Here is a 16,240-nt window from a genome sequence, read left to right on the forward strand (position 1 = left end):
TACTCATAAGATCTGTTCTTTCTTAATACAGTGTAATAGTTGAAACCCATTTTGATTTTCTACTTTTTTCTCTGTATGGAGAATTTATCATAAACTAATTCCTCTACAAATTTATAGTCATACTGTCTACCAATCTGGAGAATGGGGCAATAAATAACTAACTTACCAGGAAACCATATTTTTCTATATGGAGGTGACTAAGCTTTCATGGTTGTTTTTAAGCATGTGAATGAGGATATTGATCACCTACTGAAAATATGTGGGTCATCTTGTTAGATCACATTTGAGGGAAAATGCAAGATAACAAAACAATTTTCCTAGTATCAAATTATGGATGTTAGCAACTTGGAAAGGAGGAAGAGTGAGCTCTTCATTATCTTGTCACTGCCATACCTAAGAGTGTCCTGGTCCTCTCCCTGAAAGACTTTGCCGCTTACTCAAACATAAAGTTAAAAAGAGATTTTGCCACTACAGTTAGAATAGTGCTATACAGAAGGATCAATAAGTCTTTCTGCATACTGAAAATATTTTGTTTAATTAGTTTATTTCCATGGCTTGATGTTGCAGAGCCAGAATAGCAGCTATAGAAATACTTAAACAATTAGCCCTAAGGACAAGTATTTACATGGCAATTAATTTACAAATAGCTAGTCCAGTAGAATATGTTCTATCAGTTCAAGTCATCAGTCCAATAAAAACAAGTCAATTGTTTTCTCTTAGAATAGAATCTGATTAGAATAGAAAATGTCAAGATTCACACAAAGTAGGGACAAGACCTGGAAGGACCTGTTGGACCCTTATTCTCTGATGCTAGATCGAAACTTCACTCGGGTGAATGTGGTTGTCCCACCAAAACAAATATAAGTATCGGATATCAACTCTATGTAAGACATAATGGTGAGTGCTTAGAGTAAAAAGACACATATGATCAAAATTCTGCCCTCCAGGAAGTTATAGAGGAGAAGAGATAATGAAAAAAATAGTTAACCTAGATATAGAAAGGAAACCATTCTAACAGAAAACACGATCCTAGAATAACATGGATTCTGGAAAGCCTTTATTAGAATGGGTATTTCCTTTCTTGAGTCTTGAAAAATAAGTTAAACATTTAGAGAGTTGTTGCAGATGGCGGGAAATGTATACTAAAACATTAACTTCTGTGTGAAACTACAGTAGTTCTAAATTACTTAGGTAGAAAGCATGAGTCAGGGAGTCTCTGAAGTTGAGACTGACAAGCGCTTGGGGAGGGAGCTTTATGTGCCTTAAGGAACCTTGTTTTTATCCTGAAGGCCACTGTGAGACTGTGAAAGATTTTAAGTATGACAGTGATGAATTTTTTTAAAAAAATCACTCTGGCCCTTGTGTAGAATATGCTTTTAGGATGCCCAGACTTGAGGTAAGAGCTTGACAGGAGGCTGTTTTCCAAAGCAGCAGTGATGAGAGCCTCAAGTAAATTGGCAGCAGGCAGGAGAAAGGAGAATGGGACAGCTACCAAAAAGAAAAAAAATTAGAAGGTAATTTGTGGAGGACTGTAATAACTGACTAGTGCAGGGAGTAAGAATGAGGGGAATCAGGCCTGAGAGGAGAGGTGGTCTAGAAGCTATTAACTGTGTGTGGGAATGTGCAGATGCAAGGTCTTCTGTGGGTGGGAGATGAAGATGCGTGATCTGTTGGGCCTCCAAAATTTTCAAAAGAATAGAAGTTTGAAATTTGAGAGCCAAGTTGGGCATGGAGTTCATAATGGAAACCAGTGAGATCACCTAAGGAAAGTAAGAAAATAAAGAGAGAAGTAGTAGGCCAAAATCAGATGCCCTGTGGCACAAGGTTTAAAGGGCAGCCAATGAAGGAGAGCCCATAATAGGATACCAAGCAGGAAGTAAAGTAGTAAGAGAAAAGGAAAGAATCCTATGCTTACGAGTCAGGAACTCTGGCTCAGCATTTTTCAAACTAATGCTCCTTGTAACACAGGTCTTTTGAAAGATGCTAATGAGAAAAAAGAAACTCTATAGTTAAATATGTTTGGAAAATTGTGAGTTTAAAAATAAGTTGCAGGCCAGGTGCGGTGGCTCATGCCTATAATCCCAGCACTTTTGGAGGGTGAGGCGGGAGGATCGCTTAAGCTCAGGAGTTCGAGATCAGCCTGGGCAACATGGTGAAACCCCATCCGTACGAAAAAATTTAAAAAATTAGCCAGGTGTGGTGGTGCGAGTCTGTGGTCCCAAGTACTCAGGAGGCTGATGTGGGAGGATCCCTTGAGACTGGGAGGCAGAGGTTACTGTGTGATGGCGCCACTGCACTCCAGCCTGGGTGACACAGTGAGACTCCGTCGCAAAAAAAAACAAACCAGAAAAAGTTGCAGACTTTTTAAATTGATGGACTTTTTCAAGCCTTTAACTTACTAATTAATGAGTATTTCCCAAACATCTTGGCCTAAGTAGAGGTTGGACTGAAACTAAAGGAGAGAATAGGAGTGAGGAACTAAGAAATGGAAACTCATGTCTAGAGCTTAACAAAGAAGGGAAGAAAGGAGATAGAAATAAGAGAGCAGAGGGGGCAGGGGAGGGTAGGACTAGTAGCACAGATAGAGGGGGTAACTACCTCAAACAAGAGGAAAGATATATTTCCAGAAACTGCTGAAAAACAGTTTAGGATAAATGCAGACAGAGACAGTTAAGGATAAATGCAGACAGAGACAGTTAGGGATAAATGCAGATGTAGAAAAATCTGTAGATAGAGGAAGACAAATGAAAAAAATTTAATTTTTTTCCAAAATATGAATTCTTCATTTATTATATAATCAGGATGAACAAATATATAGGTGAACTTTTCTAGAAAAAAAAATCCGTATATTTAACCATCTTCTCGGGAGAATGTGTGACCCAGAAAAAGGGTAAACCCCAGTGCTCTGCACTATAATTTCTGAGCTCTAATCTTTGATTCCTTAACCTACAAAGTCTGACATTCAAGTATATGTATGATTTTTCCGTTTCATCTCACACTGCTTTCCCTTACACATCCTCATCTCTGGCCAAACTTATTTACTGCTCATTTACACCTACAACTGTGTTTTTGTCCAAACTATTCCCCCTTGCTCACAATGCTCTCGAAGACCACAACTTGTCCAAATTTCTACCCATCCATCACAGCTCACTACAGATGTCACTGCCATCATTCTATCCCAACTGCTCACTTCCCCACCAAAAATAGGCCGGAAATCATGATTGTTCTGTGAATGTCCAGAATTTTTTTCTGTCCCTTTCTTGATAGGAGGCAGCGTATATAACAAATACCCTGACTTTCGAATCAGATCACCAATTTTGAATCCTATCTCTCATTTACTAGTTGTATGACCTCTAAATTACTCCAACCCAGAGTCTCATTTTCTTATCTGTAAAATGGAGATGATAGTAGTGCTATCACACAGGGATGTTAAGAGAAATAAATCACATAAAGTGCCTTACACAGTTCTTAGTTTAACCCTTTCTTCCTTATGTCATAATTATTCTTGTGTATTCTTTACCTTATACTATAAGCTCTTTGTGGGTAAAATGTATGTCTTATACACTGCTGTATTCTCTCCTTATATGCAAAAACAATATACTACTCATTAATTTTCGTTGACTACGTGAATGAATGAATGAATGCTGAATTAAATATGTCTCTACACATTTAATTACAAAGAGCAAGCAAGTTATACACTAGGAAAAATACGATAGTCATAAAATTATGCCATTTAAAACCATAATAGTATGCATGTAATATAACTAGAATGATCAATTACATTATAACTCTCATTGGTTTTCAGTATATTTTTAAATTTATATTTTCTCTAAAATACAGTTATCTTTTATATTTATAAAGAAAAATTTGAAATCAATTTCAGAAAAACATAAAAGATGTAATATATTAATTTAAGTGGGCTTTTACTATGACATATAAATGCAACACTGGTATATATCATTTTCTATATTCAATTCCACAAACACAGATTGCATACTATATGACAGATACTGTAATAGGTGAACAAGATAATAACCCCTGTCTTCAATTAGCTTGTGCCAAATGGGAGAAACAGACTTTTAAACACATATATTTAATATATTTTAAGTGCCATAAAGATATGGCTAGGAAACTATGGAAATATAAAGGCAAGCTACTTAATCCAACCTAGGGGTGCAAAGATTTAAATCATATCCTCTGGTTTATTCACTCCTCTAGTCTAGTAGAAATTTACTCTTCCCGATCATTAAATGATATCCCAGTGCCGTAAAAGAGTCAATACTCTTCCAGAAGGTGAAAAATGTATTCCATATGTTGAACTAAATGTAATATAACTGGAAACAGAAATCTCAGCTGGCTCACTTATTAAATCAAAAGGCAGAGCAAATTTTCACACTGAACATTGAAACTATCACTGTTGTTTAGTACTTTTTGTATTAGAAAATAACTCCGTGCTATTTTACTTATAGTATATATGCTTTGTAAGCTTTTTCTTCTAGGAAATCACACATTGCCTTTGCAGAAAATGCAGCAGTTTTTTTTTTTTCTTTTTTGGTTCCTTGTAACATAAAGAATTACCTGCTCTACAATAAATTGGTAAACATAAATAGTAGGTTAAAGTTAGAGCATATAAGAGTCTTTCTCAGTACTTTTTAAAATTATGTATTATAAATACATTAAGGTGGGATTTTAGATAATAGTGTAAAAATAGATGATCTACTATGATGAACAAATAATATGCTAAATTTCAGTATTCAGTTGCTCATATAAGAGGGCTCCATTCCTTCCATGTCTGTTTTAGACTGTGCTAAGTTGAGTTTTTCAGATGTAGGTTTACTCTCATCTCAAAACACCTAATATGTGTTCTTCATCTGTCTCATTTTATACAATAATAATCTAAGGAAACTATGATCTGTGGGGATAATTAGTTATTGTTAATCTTAGTGTTAAGGATAGATTATGCTCAAGAAGTCACCTAGCAGCATCAAGAGGCCAATTCCTGAAAACAGTGAGCTTTTGTGTAAAATTTGAGTTTATAGAATATTTATAATGGATAGTTTAGGGGAGAGTACATTGTGTCTTTGTGAATATGTTGGGGAGGAAGTAGTACTGAAGTTTAACTTCATAACCCTTAAGGCATTGTATTCTATGAGTTGTTAAAGTATTTTTATTTTATTCAAGCAAAAACATCCTGTAACTATTTCCATGCAAAAAAAGTTCAGGGCTGGAGTGCAGTGTCACTGTCATAGCTCCCTGCAGCCTTGACTTCCAGGGCTCAAGGGATCCTCCCACCTCAGCTTCCTAGGTAGCCAGGACAATAGGCATGTGCTACCAAACCCAGCTAATTTTTTAAATTTTTCATAGAGATGAGATCTCGCTATATTGCCCAGGCTGGTCTCAATCTCCTGGCCTCAAGCAGTCCTCCCGCCTCAGCCTGCCAAAGTGCTGGGATTACAAGTGTGAGCCACCATGCCCAGCCCTAAAAAAAAAGTTTGAAAATTTCAAAATACCATTGCTCTGAAATTTTATCTGGACAGCTATCAATATTATTTGTATATAAATAAAACAGTCACTATCTGTAGACTTTGCTACTATGATTTTTTTTTATTTCCTTAAGATACTTCAGTCACCTGAAACCCAGAGAACCATCCTGGATATCTAAAATTTGGGAATCTAAAATTTTTTACAGTATTTTTTCTAGAACTTCCCCCCTCCATGCACATACACAAATACCTCCATTTTTATAATGCCCAAAGCTTTCCTAGGATTCCAAAACAAAGTTACAACTTTATTATATTCTTCAGTAATTTGTTTTGAGATTAAAACATCTTATTATTTATTTCTATGGGGGAGAATGTTTTAGGGAAACTGACTGTACCATACTTAAAAATAATGAGTCTATGGCCAGGTGCGGTGGCTCAGACCTGTAATCCCAGCACTGTGGGAGGCCAAGGCGGGCGGATCACAAGGTCAGGAGTTCAAGACCAGCCTGGCCAACATGGTGAAACACCATCTCTACTAAAAATACAAAAATTAGCTGGGCATGGTGGTATGCACCTGTAATCCCAGCTCCTTGGGAGGCCGAGGCAGGAGAATCGCTTAAACCGGGAGGCGGAGCTTGCAGTGAGCCAGAGATCATGCCACTGCACTCCAGCCTGGGTGACAGAGCAAGACTCCATCTAAAAAAAATAAAAGAGTCCAAAGCAGTGACAGATATTTTAGATATGTTCAGTCACTCATGCTATGAATTATTTCCCTACAATGTATACCACTTTATAAAAATAATTGTAAAAATTTACTCCCTTATTATATTTTTGTCCTGATTTCTTTGGAATAATATTATTTTACATTGAACATAAAGAATTTCAGATTAGTTTTAGTTCTTCTAAATAATGTCAGGATTTTAAGTTTAATAATTCTACTAAGATTAGTCAATGTTTATTATCCCAAAATAACAATATTTTACATGTTCTAAAAGCAAACTGAGCATGTAGTTTCCAAGTAATTGAAGCTGAAGAAAATCCATATAGCTAATACAACTTTTAACAATATTAAACTAAGGTTAGGAAATATTCAAGTGATTCTAAAATACATTATAATTTTATGTACCCTAAATATAGTTTACCAATTGAAAGTCATCAAATACTTCTAACAATTCCAATTTTAATTAAACTCCAACTCTTTTTTTTCCATACGTAGTCTTTGCTGTGCTTTACATTGAAAGTTGTAAAGAAGCTTAGCATTACTTGGAAATTTAATAGCCATCGTTGCCTTTTAATCACTAGAATGCAGTGTACCCCCTCCTGAAAATGATTTACACCCCCCCCCCACTCCCCTCCCCTGAAAATGATTAATCCCTGCAATTGAGAAAAAGAAAAAGCAGCCTCTGACCTCTGGGAACTGGCCTGCCTATATCTAAGCCTCATTCTTTTTGAGAACTGTCCTGGAGCTCACAGCTAGGCCATGGCGTTCTCTTGTTGGACATAAACAACCTCACAGAGCACCAACTTCATACAGGGTTGTGTGATGATGATGTGAGACAAAAAACAACTTTATAATTTTGACTAAGCACAGACAAAAGCAAGATCACTGTGCATACCACAAAAATACCAGACATTCCCCTCTTTTGGCTAATATGAGTGACTGCTACATCTCTTCAATTAGAGCTTTAGCATACATACATTTAGTCTTCCTTCCCTCTAGATAAGATTGATTGAAATACTTAATCATTGAATTATTTCTGATGCCTGACAGAGCCCAATCCAGAGCAAAGCCCTGCTTTCCTGAACTCTTCCCAAAATCACTTAAGTAAAATCCAGATCCTACAATGAGTCTTTTAACACCCCTAAGTCACCCCATGGTACTTATTGTTGTCAGTTTCTCTCACTGCAATGAGTAATAAAACCCACTTGTTCAACTACAGATGTGTTCTTGGTGGTCTTTGGCAAGAAAGCATTGACACATCCAATAACTTAAAATTTGTGAATATTGGACTATTAGTTCTGTAAAAATATAAAAGAGTTTTGTGGCCGTGCACAGCGGCTCATGCCTGTAATCCCAGCATTTTGGGATGCCAAGCCAGGTGGATCAACTGAGGTTAGGAGTTCAAGACTAGTCTGGCCAACATGGTGAATCCCTGTCTCTACTAAAAATACAAAAATTAGCTGGGCACAGTGGTGCGTGCCTGTACTCCCAGCTACTCAGGAGGCTGAGGCAGGAGAATCGCTTGAGCTCGGGGGGCAGAAGTTGCAGTGAGCCAGAGATTGAGCCATTGCACTCCAGCCTGGGTGACAGAGCAAGACTCTATCTCAAAAAAAAAAAAAAAAAAAAAGAATTTTGTAAAGTTTTACCAAAATGTCAGCATATTATTAAGATTTCTGTGCTTGAAATTTTTATTTTCATCAAGATAATCTAAACCCACAAGTATTTAACATTCTACTTTTAAAATATATTTGATAAATTGTTTCTTTTTTAATATAAAATGTGTACTTTCTACTGTAGGTCCATGATGAGGTTTACCATCTCAATTGGTTAAAGATCTTACAGCTCTAAAGAGAAGTTATTATTTTAAAGATTCATTATGCTTGGGCGGTTTTTGTTCTAGTTCAGATTTTAAATTAGATAAATGGGAAGTAATACCCCTATACTTCTTTCAAAAATAGTAATGGATCAGTATTTTTTAAGCATTATATTGCCAGTTGTAAAAAGTAAATAACATTTATATTTTCCTTTTAATTACCACTTTAGATGGTGGAATTTTAAATTATTATATGCATCAATGCAATAGGAAGAGGTTTGTCTTATCCATTTGTTTAACATTTAATATCAATATTTCTATGTGTGCCGAGGACATTATAATTTATTCTTTTATTGCTATAGTAGTGATTGGGATGAATATATTTACAGTCATTCCTCAACTCACTACACCAAGCAAAGTTTAGGAGGTTAAATGTGTAGTTACTTAAGTTATCTTCTAGAACAGAATCAGCTAGATCACCATCTCACCATCATTCAGAGATGCTATTCTTTGTAAACTATTTTTATTTGGAAAGGGATCCGAGGTTTTCAAATAACCAAGTACTGTATGGAAGATGTGCTGGCTTGTGATTGTGCCTTATGTAAACATTTTAATATCGGATCCCTAAAATCCAAAGGCTCCCCCAAAGGGGATTAAAACATAATCCCCTCTCTCTATTCTGTAGTGGATTAACTCTGTATTCTCTCTGCGGCTGGTTTGCTCCCTGAAGACTACAACAAAAAGATTCAGTGCTCCTTAAACATGCTATGGAATTGGAAGTTGTAATTGGAGATTTCCAAAGGACGAGGGTAAAAATGACACACTATTAATGCTGAATATTTCATGATGGTCTTTCTTAAAGAAAGACCAGTTCGAAGCCCTTTTATAAATGCCCAGAAAATCTCCTCAACAGAAGGATATTGGAGTAAAATCCAAAGGAAGCCGTCCCCTTTCAGAAACACAGAGAAGTAGAGAAGATATGCTCCCCACGGAAAGTTCACGGATGTGTACTTAAAATTTGTAATGTATTTCAATAAATCAATGGGTATGGTTTTGATGTTTCACGATCTTTTTTTTTTCATGTTCTCAATTTGGATACGTTAAATTACTTTTTAAGAGAAAGAAGTAATTCACCATTTTTAGTGTTTTTGACCATTATTTGTCTCCAAATGCCAGAAACCTCTGTTAAACTATAAATCTTGATAGTCCTCTGTCTTTAGAATGGAGACTTTTTTGAGGTTTTTAGCAATGCCCAACAATGTACAACTTTGTTTCCAGTGTGAACCAAATCACCTTTCTCACCTTGCCCCAAGCAAGAGTAAACCGCATAGATTTCTTCAGAGAGAAGATAGGAAAAGTGGCATCCAAGGGAGCGTCCTGGTTGCTTAAGGGTTAAGGGAGCGGTTCGAACCGGCCCGAGCGTTGGGGGATTCGGAGGAGGGCGCGGGAGGCAGGAGGCGCCGCCAAGCGCGCGCACAGACCCTCCAATAAACACAAAGGAGGGCCTGGGGAATAGAAACCCAAATCCACTTGTAATCGTACAAGAGATTCGGGCGTAATTACTTGAGCAATCTAGATTAAGATTGATGATCCTTTAAAGTGGTGCTTCAGATCGACTGCCTCTCCCTTTCCAAAGAAAAACCTTGTGCAACCGAGGTGGACCCCGACTCGGCTGGGCAGAGGCCGAGGCCCAGAGTCCGCGAGCCCCGGGGGCTCATCGGGGGATCGAGAGCAGTGAAATGAAAGACAGGGCTGTGCGTGGGTCTGGCCCGGGCAGTCCCGACAGGGCTGAAAGCTGACACTGTCACAGTTTGCTCCTTAGCCACCCCCTTGTAATCGCGACAGAAGCCAGCCCAGCCCTCTGTGTTCCCGCAGCCTCGGGAACGGCCCGGCATTGTGCAGGACGGTCGCAGATTGGGTGTGTGCTGCGCCAGGGAAAGCCAACTTGGCCGCCTCTCCCGAGCCCGGCCCGGCGGGGGCCGAGGGCGGTGTCGGCGCGAGGGCTCTCCGCCCGGAGGGCCGAGGCCTAGCGGCCGCGGGGAACCTAACTTTTTATTGCCTTTCTCCGACTGTTATTGTGACGCATCTGACTGTATGCATTTGAGAGAAGTGGAAGGGATTATGATGCGCCCTTGCTACCTACAAATGAATAGTTACATCCGATCCCCACGTTATGTATAACGTTATATCGTGTTTCGAATCCAGGATTGCGAAGAATGGCTCCCTTTGGGGAGACTTTACAGAAAACATTTAGGTAATATCCCATTTGAATTCATATTCCATACGCGTAATTCGTGATTTTCAACCTTAACAGATTGAGGGAATTCGAAGCAAGCACCCTGGCAGGCACTTCTAGTGAAGCTGTTTCTGTAGTTTCAAAAGTTGAGAAGTAGCACTTTCGCACGGTTTTTTGAGAACCGTTTTGTTCAAGCGTCTTACATTTTCATCACTTTTGATATATTCTCTGTAAGAAAATGACTAAGATTTTCGTTCTTTTCTACGTAAGAACTTTATGTAATGTCCGTATGCACGCGTATGTATGTGTGTGTAGCGCGCCTTAGGAGACCGATATTAGATTAATCTTCCTGCAAGAGGCAAACCGCTCTGAACAGCGGAATTTATCATTTAGATCCTTGCCCCCTTCTCGTCCTCTCGCCTCTCCTTGGGGAGCGCCGCTGCTGAGTGGAACGGCTTCGCGCGATGGCTGGTCTTGGGGGCAGTGCTGACTGCCTAGGGTCTCTGGAAAAGCCAGTGATACTCAATGGAGAATTGGGGCATTTGTCCGTTCTGCACTTTTAAGTAAGTTAATGGCAGCCCCTTACCAACCATGTAGGATTTCTAGGTGGAAATTGAGCGTTATTCGGTATCCTGACCTCCTGGGTTTTCATACCATTTTTTCTCTCTAGTCTCGTTATAAGGTAATGTATAAAAGCTAAGTAGTCCTTATCTTACGTGAAAAAAGAGTTTGCCGCATAATACAGGCACCATTTTTTCTAGTGCATCCTTACCAATAAAAACCTCTGGTACCTTTCTGGGAGGGAGCAGGAAGGGCCACAGGGGCTCAGCCTGACTCCCCTTGTCCTTGCCTTGCAGGCCCAGTGGTTCTCAGCACCCCTGCCCAGCTCATCGCTCCCGTGGTGGTGGCCAAGGGGACTCTCTCCATCACCACGACAGAAATCTACTTCGAGGTAGATGAGGATGATTCTGCCTTCAAGAAGATCGACACGAAAGTGAGTTAAAGCGATTCCATGTACAGTATTGGTGGCTTTGTGGCAGGAAGTGGTTTTCAATTTTGTTTGGTTTTACCTGACAGTGGAGGAGGGGAGCACATTCTCCTCTTTCTCATAGAAAATAAAATGAATGAAATAGCATGTTCTCTTTATGGAATTGAAGAATATATTAATGAATTTAAATCCTGTATTACCAGAGCATGCACATTTTAACAGTCTTTCTATGAGTGCCTTTGTTTGCATTTGGGCAGATTTGGTAGTTAAGCCAATTGCTTCCAAGTCCCTGGGGCCCAGAATCTCAGGCTCTGAGGCTGACTTTGAAAGGTCTTGAGAAATTTCTTATTAAGATCACTTTTAATTTTCAAAACTTTATATTGTAATGTGATTATTGAAAAGTTATAAGGAAACTGGGGGGAGAGCATTTAGATATAAATTAATCTCCATTAGTACACCCATTTTGTCCATCTCCTGAAATAAGAATGGGTTTTATATGTGGATTTAAGAGAAAAGCAACTGATTCTCTGAGCTTTGATTTTAAATATATATGCTAGCACTCAGATGTTTAAATATTGTATTCTTTGGATATAATGCCAGAAAATACAAATTTGGACCATTTAAATGCATATTTATTAAATGTTATTGTGTAGATTTTAAACACCAGAGTATTAGAGTAGCTCTTTCTCAGCATTTTCTGAGATCTGTTCTAATGTTTTAACTTTCATGTTACTGTGCAATTTGCAAACTTCTATTCTGGGGTTAAGAATTCAACAGCATGAAGTGTCATGCTAGAAATTCTAGCATCATTTTGCAAAGATCTTCCTTTATTTTCAGAGGCAGTTATTCTAAAATAGTCAAAGACAAATGCTCCCACAGATCCAGAACTTTATTGTTTTTAATTTAGATATTGAAATAAAATGTTATAAAATAGTATTTGTAGACTAGAGCTGAAATCCAAAAATTTACCATCACCTGAATTAACTAACTTAAGGCCCATAGGTGATCAGCCTTTTCAGCACTTGTTGACTACTAAACTCTTCCAAAGGAGAGCCATGGGACTTCTTTTACTTCTAGCTGCAAATGTAGTTTTTAAAATGAGCTTGAATGCACTGTATTTTATTTTAAAATAACTTAAATTTTGTGTTCATCCTTTTATTAGCTTGCCCTATGAAGTCAAAAAGAAATGTTGAATTTCTAATGAATTTATTCTGCTAATGGAACCCTTATTACATAAAATAAGGTTTGACATAAAATATATTGGTCAGAAAGGATCGTTTTATTAGTTTTCATACATAATTTTCGAAGTTTCATTATGACTTTGTTAAGTTCATTTCCTCTGAATTAGTCAGATTTTTAACTCAGTCATCTCTACTGTCATGATAGACTTTTTTTCTTATATTATCAAAAATGCTACAAGAAGAGCAAGCTTTCAAAGGTAGATTTAAATTGTTTCTGTTGTAGAAAGGAATTGTCTTACAAGTAAGTTAGAGACTGAGAGTAGATTGTTATCTTATGGACCTATACAGAAAGAGCTTTTCTCCAATGTTTTATTTTTAAGGATTTCATTAGCATATTTCTCAAAATATTTAAGATATTCAAGTGGGTTTGATTTTCAAAATGCATCATTACATCTTGTGATAGGAAACAATTTAAAGTGAGACACAACAACTTTTATTTTACTTCATTTATTACCATCTAATTAAATAAAAACCAGCAACAAATTAAAATCTAAATCACAAAAGTAATTATCCAGTGTATTTCAAGTGCATTTTTCAAATATATAATTCAGATATTCAAGCGTTATTATATAAGCTGAATTCAAATTTCTTTGAATATATTTAAATAACATTTCAAGTATATTTATGGAATGTTAGAAATAGAACAAGCAATATTTGAAACAAAATGTAAACTTTTTAAAGTTCAGACACTTTCAAAGACAGATAAAAGTACCAGGAAGAAATCTACCTTTAAATGATATCTTTGTTAGTGGAAAATGTCTGGAAGTATCCAGAATGGCAATTTAAGTTCTGTTCACCAAATCACAAAACACCAACATCCACACTTTCAAAGACAATGTGAGATCACAATATTTGTTACAAATCAAAATATACATTACAGTTTCTTTCAGATGGCATATCCAAATCGTGTTTACTCACAGACAGATGCACCTAAATCACCAGGATTGCTATAATCCTTTGATAGTTAGGCAGAGTGTTCGTCTCGGTCTGGCGTTACAGCTGGGCTGTTTACGGAGTGTTACGGTGTACTTTTCAAGGGAGATAGGAAATCGTGTGGAAAGAAGTCTTCTAATACTAGTGGCTTTGGGTTTTTCTCCATCCGCTTCCCCTACTTTTTCTCCCCTTGTGGGGGTGGGTGAGATGATGTTTAAATATTGTATTATTATTCCTTTTTAAAGGAAGAGATTGTTTGCACTGCGGAGTGGAATATTAGGAATTGAACAGAAGTTTACACTTAATAAGGACTTTGAGAAGGGTAATAATTTCGGCTCTTGATTAAATCATCCTCTAAAGTTTTTCCAAACTTTTCGGGTTGGTCAGGATCTCTCTTGCCAGTCGCCACGTTTGTTTGGCAGCGTTTTCCAGAGCTGAGTGAGGTTTGCCTTGAAACAGATCTAAGTTCGGTAGAAAGTAGTGGGGACACCGCCGGCACTGCAGGCAGGAGATAAGTTGCAGCAAAATCCCGTTCAGCCGATCACCCAGGCAAGACTCGTCCCAGTCCGACTCTCGGGGATGCTTTTCACACTCGTAGGAAACCAGAGTCTTCATATGGTAATTGTTCAAGGGCTGGCCCGGCAGTTCAAGGTGACGATCCCTTAAGGTTTTGAGGATGGAGAGGCACTTCTTTCTGCAGCCCCCCATCTGCAGTCTGTTCTCTGCCTCCGCGAACTGCAGCACCCAGGCGTCGCTCTCCGCCGAGCTCTGCTTGCCGGCCAAGGAGTGGCACTCCTTGGACAAGAGATTGAAACCTTCCGCCTTGACCTCCGCCACCCGGTTGGGTCCCGGCCAGGGGATGTGGGGAAGTGGCCAGTGGGCAGCACTCCTCGGCCAGATCCCGGTGCATTTAAAGGCCGGCGTGATCTGCACCACGTACCTATCTCGGATTCTCAGTTTCACTTCGCTGGTGTCTGCCACCATCTTTACCACATCCCGGTAGCTACATTTGTCTACCGCTTGAGCCACCAGCGTCTGAAACCTGGACCGGATTTTGCGCGCCGAGAGGTAGCCGGAGGCGGTAATGAATTCCACCCAGAGGGACATGCTCCTCTTGCGCCCGTCGCTCAACTTCAGCACCGCGCAGCCGGGCAGTGAGCCATCGTCCACGAAGTTGAACACCCCCATTTGGTTGAGATAAAGCACCACTTCAAATTCGGTGGGGGAGATGACCTCGAGGCCCTCGTAGCGATTGTCCATCTCGTTGAGAGAGCTGATGAACCGCGGCTCCTGCACTTCCACTTCCTTCAGTACGTCGGAAACTACTTTGCAGACTTCCCGGATAGTTTTGGCAATGGCAGCTTTCCTGGCTTGGCATTTTTCGTTGTAGTATTTATTCAGATGGTAGACCAGCTTGGCCTGGGCCGCAATCATGTTGGGGCAGAGATCCGGATTGTACACCGGAGTCTCGCAGTAAGCTGTGGGATCCAATGCGGCTGCTAGAGCTGGAGCCAACTTCGGTGGAGAAACGGGCCGCAACACTCAGAAATGGATCAAAAATGCCTTTCGGAAGTGCTGCAGCGTTGGTTTCCCTGCTGCTGCTGCTGCTGCTGCTGCTGCTGCTGCTGCTGCTGCTGCTGCTGCTGCTGCTTTTCCCTTCCTTTTATCTTTGAGCCCAGCCGTTCTTAAAGTGAAAGACTGTCCTCCCCCCTCTGCTTGTCTCTCTTCCTCTTTTAAAGAATCCTTGTGTGAGAGAACCGCATGGAGAGATCACCTTCTCAGGAATAAAAAACAAAAGTTGCGCTGAGACCCAGCAAAGCTCTTCCAGTAGTCAAAATAAGCACCCCTTTCCGTATTTATTTGCGCTTTCCCGTAATCATTGTGTGTGCAGCACTGTTAATCAAATGGAGGAAAAGTGTGCTGAGTGTGTGTCCGGGGTGAGTGTGCGTGTGTATATGTCAGAAGAAGCTGCTGTTGGTTTGTCTAAGAGCCCAGATGCACTCGTGTGGAAATTATAAAGGCAGGGCCAGGCAGGCGGGCGGCCAATCGCCACTGGGCTCGTCACGACAGCCTCCTTCAGCTCCAACCCGGCTAATTAATCCCCACTCATGGATATAGGCACACAAACTAAAGGTAGGAGGCTGCTGCCGGCGGAAAACCACTCAGGCCACCTAGACAGTTTGGAAATCAAGAGGAATCTCTCAGCTTTGGTATTACTTGAAGCATATTGACGTTTTGAAAAGACTTGGCAAAGCGGCTCTCTTCTGTGCCGAAAACCTGCTTGTCTTTTACCGCTGAAATGCAAATACAGGTGTATTAATGGGCATCCATCAATTAGTGATCTTGACGGGGTTTTCTAAAACAAAATCACTAACTTGCATTTAGAGTAAGATAATTAACGTCTGTTAATCCTTGGGGTCTTCTTAAATGCAGGTTGAAAGTTTGTTCTTTCATGCAGACTACTGGCATATGGAAGTTGGCTTTAGATGGAGGAGTACCTGTGTAATTTTCTCATTCTGGATGTTCCTATATGTTAAAATGATTTTTTGAAACGTTATGGAGGTAGTATGCTCTTTTTTTACTTATGTTTTTTTCTTTTCTCCATTTGTTGAATCTGAAAATTATTGCTGAGTGTGTGAGATGTTCTACCCCTGTTTAAGTTAGGATATTTAAAAAATATTTCGTACATCCCTCTGCCCCAGCAGATGCAGTCTTTGCACTTTGGTGGACTTGCCCAGCATTACAAGCAGGACACAACGCTATATATGCACTTATAGAAACATTTGAAAAATAAATTGTCTGTGGGATGGACAGAGTACTTTAGC

General features: G+C 39.3%; 2 protein-coding genes across 16 annotated transcripts in view, besides 3 other annotated features; one reads left to right on the forward strand and one right to left on the reverse strand.

Annotated features, from left to right (window-relative positions):
• Nucleotides 1-16,240, forward strand: part of NBEA (neurobeachin) — a 730,467-nt gene that overhangs the window by 519,020 nt on the left and 195,207 nt on the right. For 13 of the 15 annotated variants that reach the window (XM_047430271.1, NM_001385012.1, XM_006719803.4 and 10 more), the window contains one exon: nt 11,111-11,247. In XM_047430271.1, coding sequence (XP_047286227.1) covers nt 11,111-11,247 — 137 coding nt within the window. Of the gene's footprint in view, nt 1-9,910; nt 10,272-11,110; nt 11,248-15,519; nt 15,549-16,240 lie in introns of those variants that run through there. The other 2 variants (XM_047430272.1, NM_001204197.3) reach the window with 2 other exon arrangements.
• On the reverse strand, nt 12,500-15,400 carry MAB21L1 (mab-21 like 1). Its single transcript, NM_005584.5, has one exon. The coding sequence runs from the start codon at nt 14,847-14,849 to the stop codon at nt 13,770-13,772; it is 1,080 nt and encodes a 359-aa protein (NP_005575.1). The 5' UTR covers nt 14,850-15,400; the 3' UTR covers nt 12,500-13,769.
• Nucleotides 13,976-14,972: an enhancer, noted in NCBI's record as "H3K4me1 hESC enhancer chr13:36049402-36050398 (GRCh37/hg19 assembly coordinates)". NCBI's record gives its function as "activates a minimal SCP1, AML or CMV promoter by ChIP-STARR-seq in naive H9 embryonic stem cells {active_cell/tissue: H9 hESC(naive)}" and the evidence as "EXISTENCE:reporter gene assay evidence [ECO:0000049][PMID:30033119]".
• Nucleotides 15,008-15,064: a repeat instability region, noted in NCBI's record as "repeat instability region; expansion of the (CTG)n trinucleotide repeat (CAG relative to the plus strand of the reference genome) to around 40-50 repeats results in meiotic instability of the repeat and somatic mosaicism". NCBI's record gives the evidence for it as "EXISTENCE:polymerase chain reaction evidence [ECO:0000082][PMID:9152839, PMID:8733127]".
• Nucleotides 15,008-15,066: a tandem repeat, named in NCBI's record as "mab-21 like 1 repeat instability region".

Source organism: Homo sapiens, chromosome 13 (genome assembly GCF_000001405.40).
Source record: "Homo sapiens chromosome 13, GRCh38.p14 Primary Assembly".
In the NCBI taxonomy this organism is placed as follows: Eukaryota; Metazoa; Chordata; class Mammalia; order Primates; family Hominidae; genus Homo; species Homo sapiens.

Excerpts from the sequence above, each read along its gene's own strand:
- MAB21L1 (NM_005584.5), bottom strand. The coding sequence starts at position 14,849 with ATGATTGCGGCCCAGGCCAAGCTGGTCTACCATCTGAATAAATACTAC.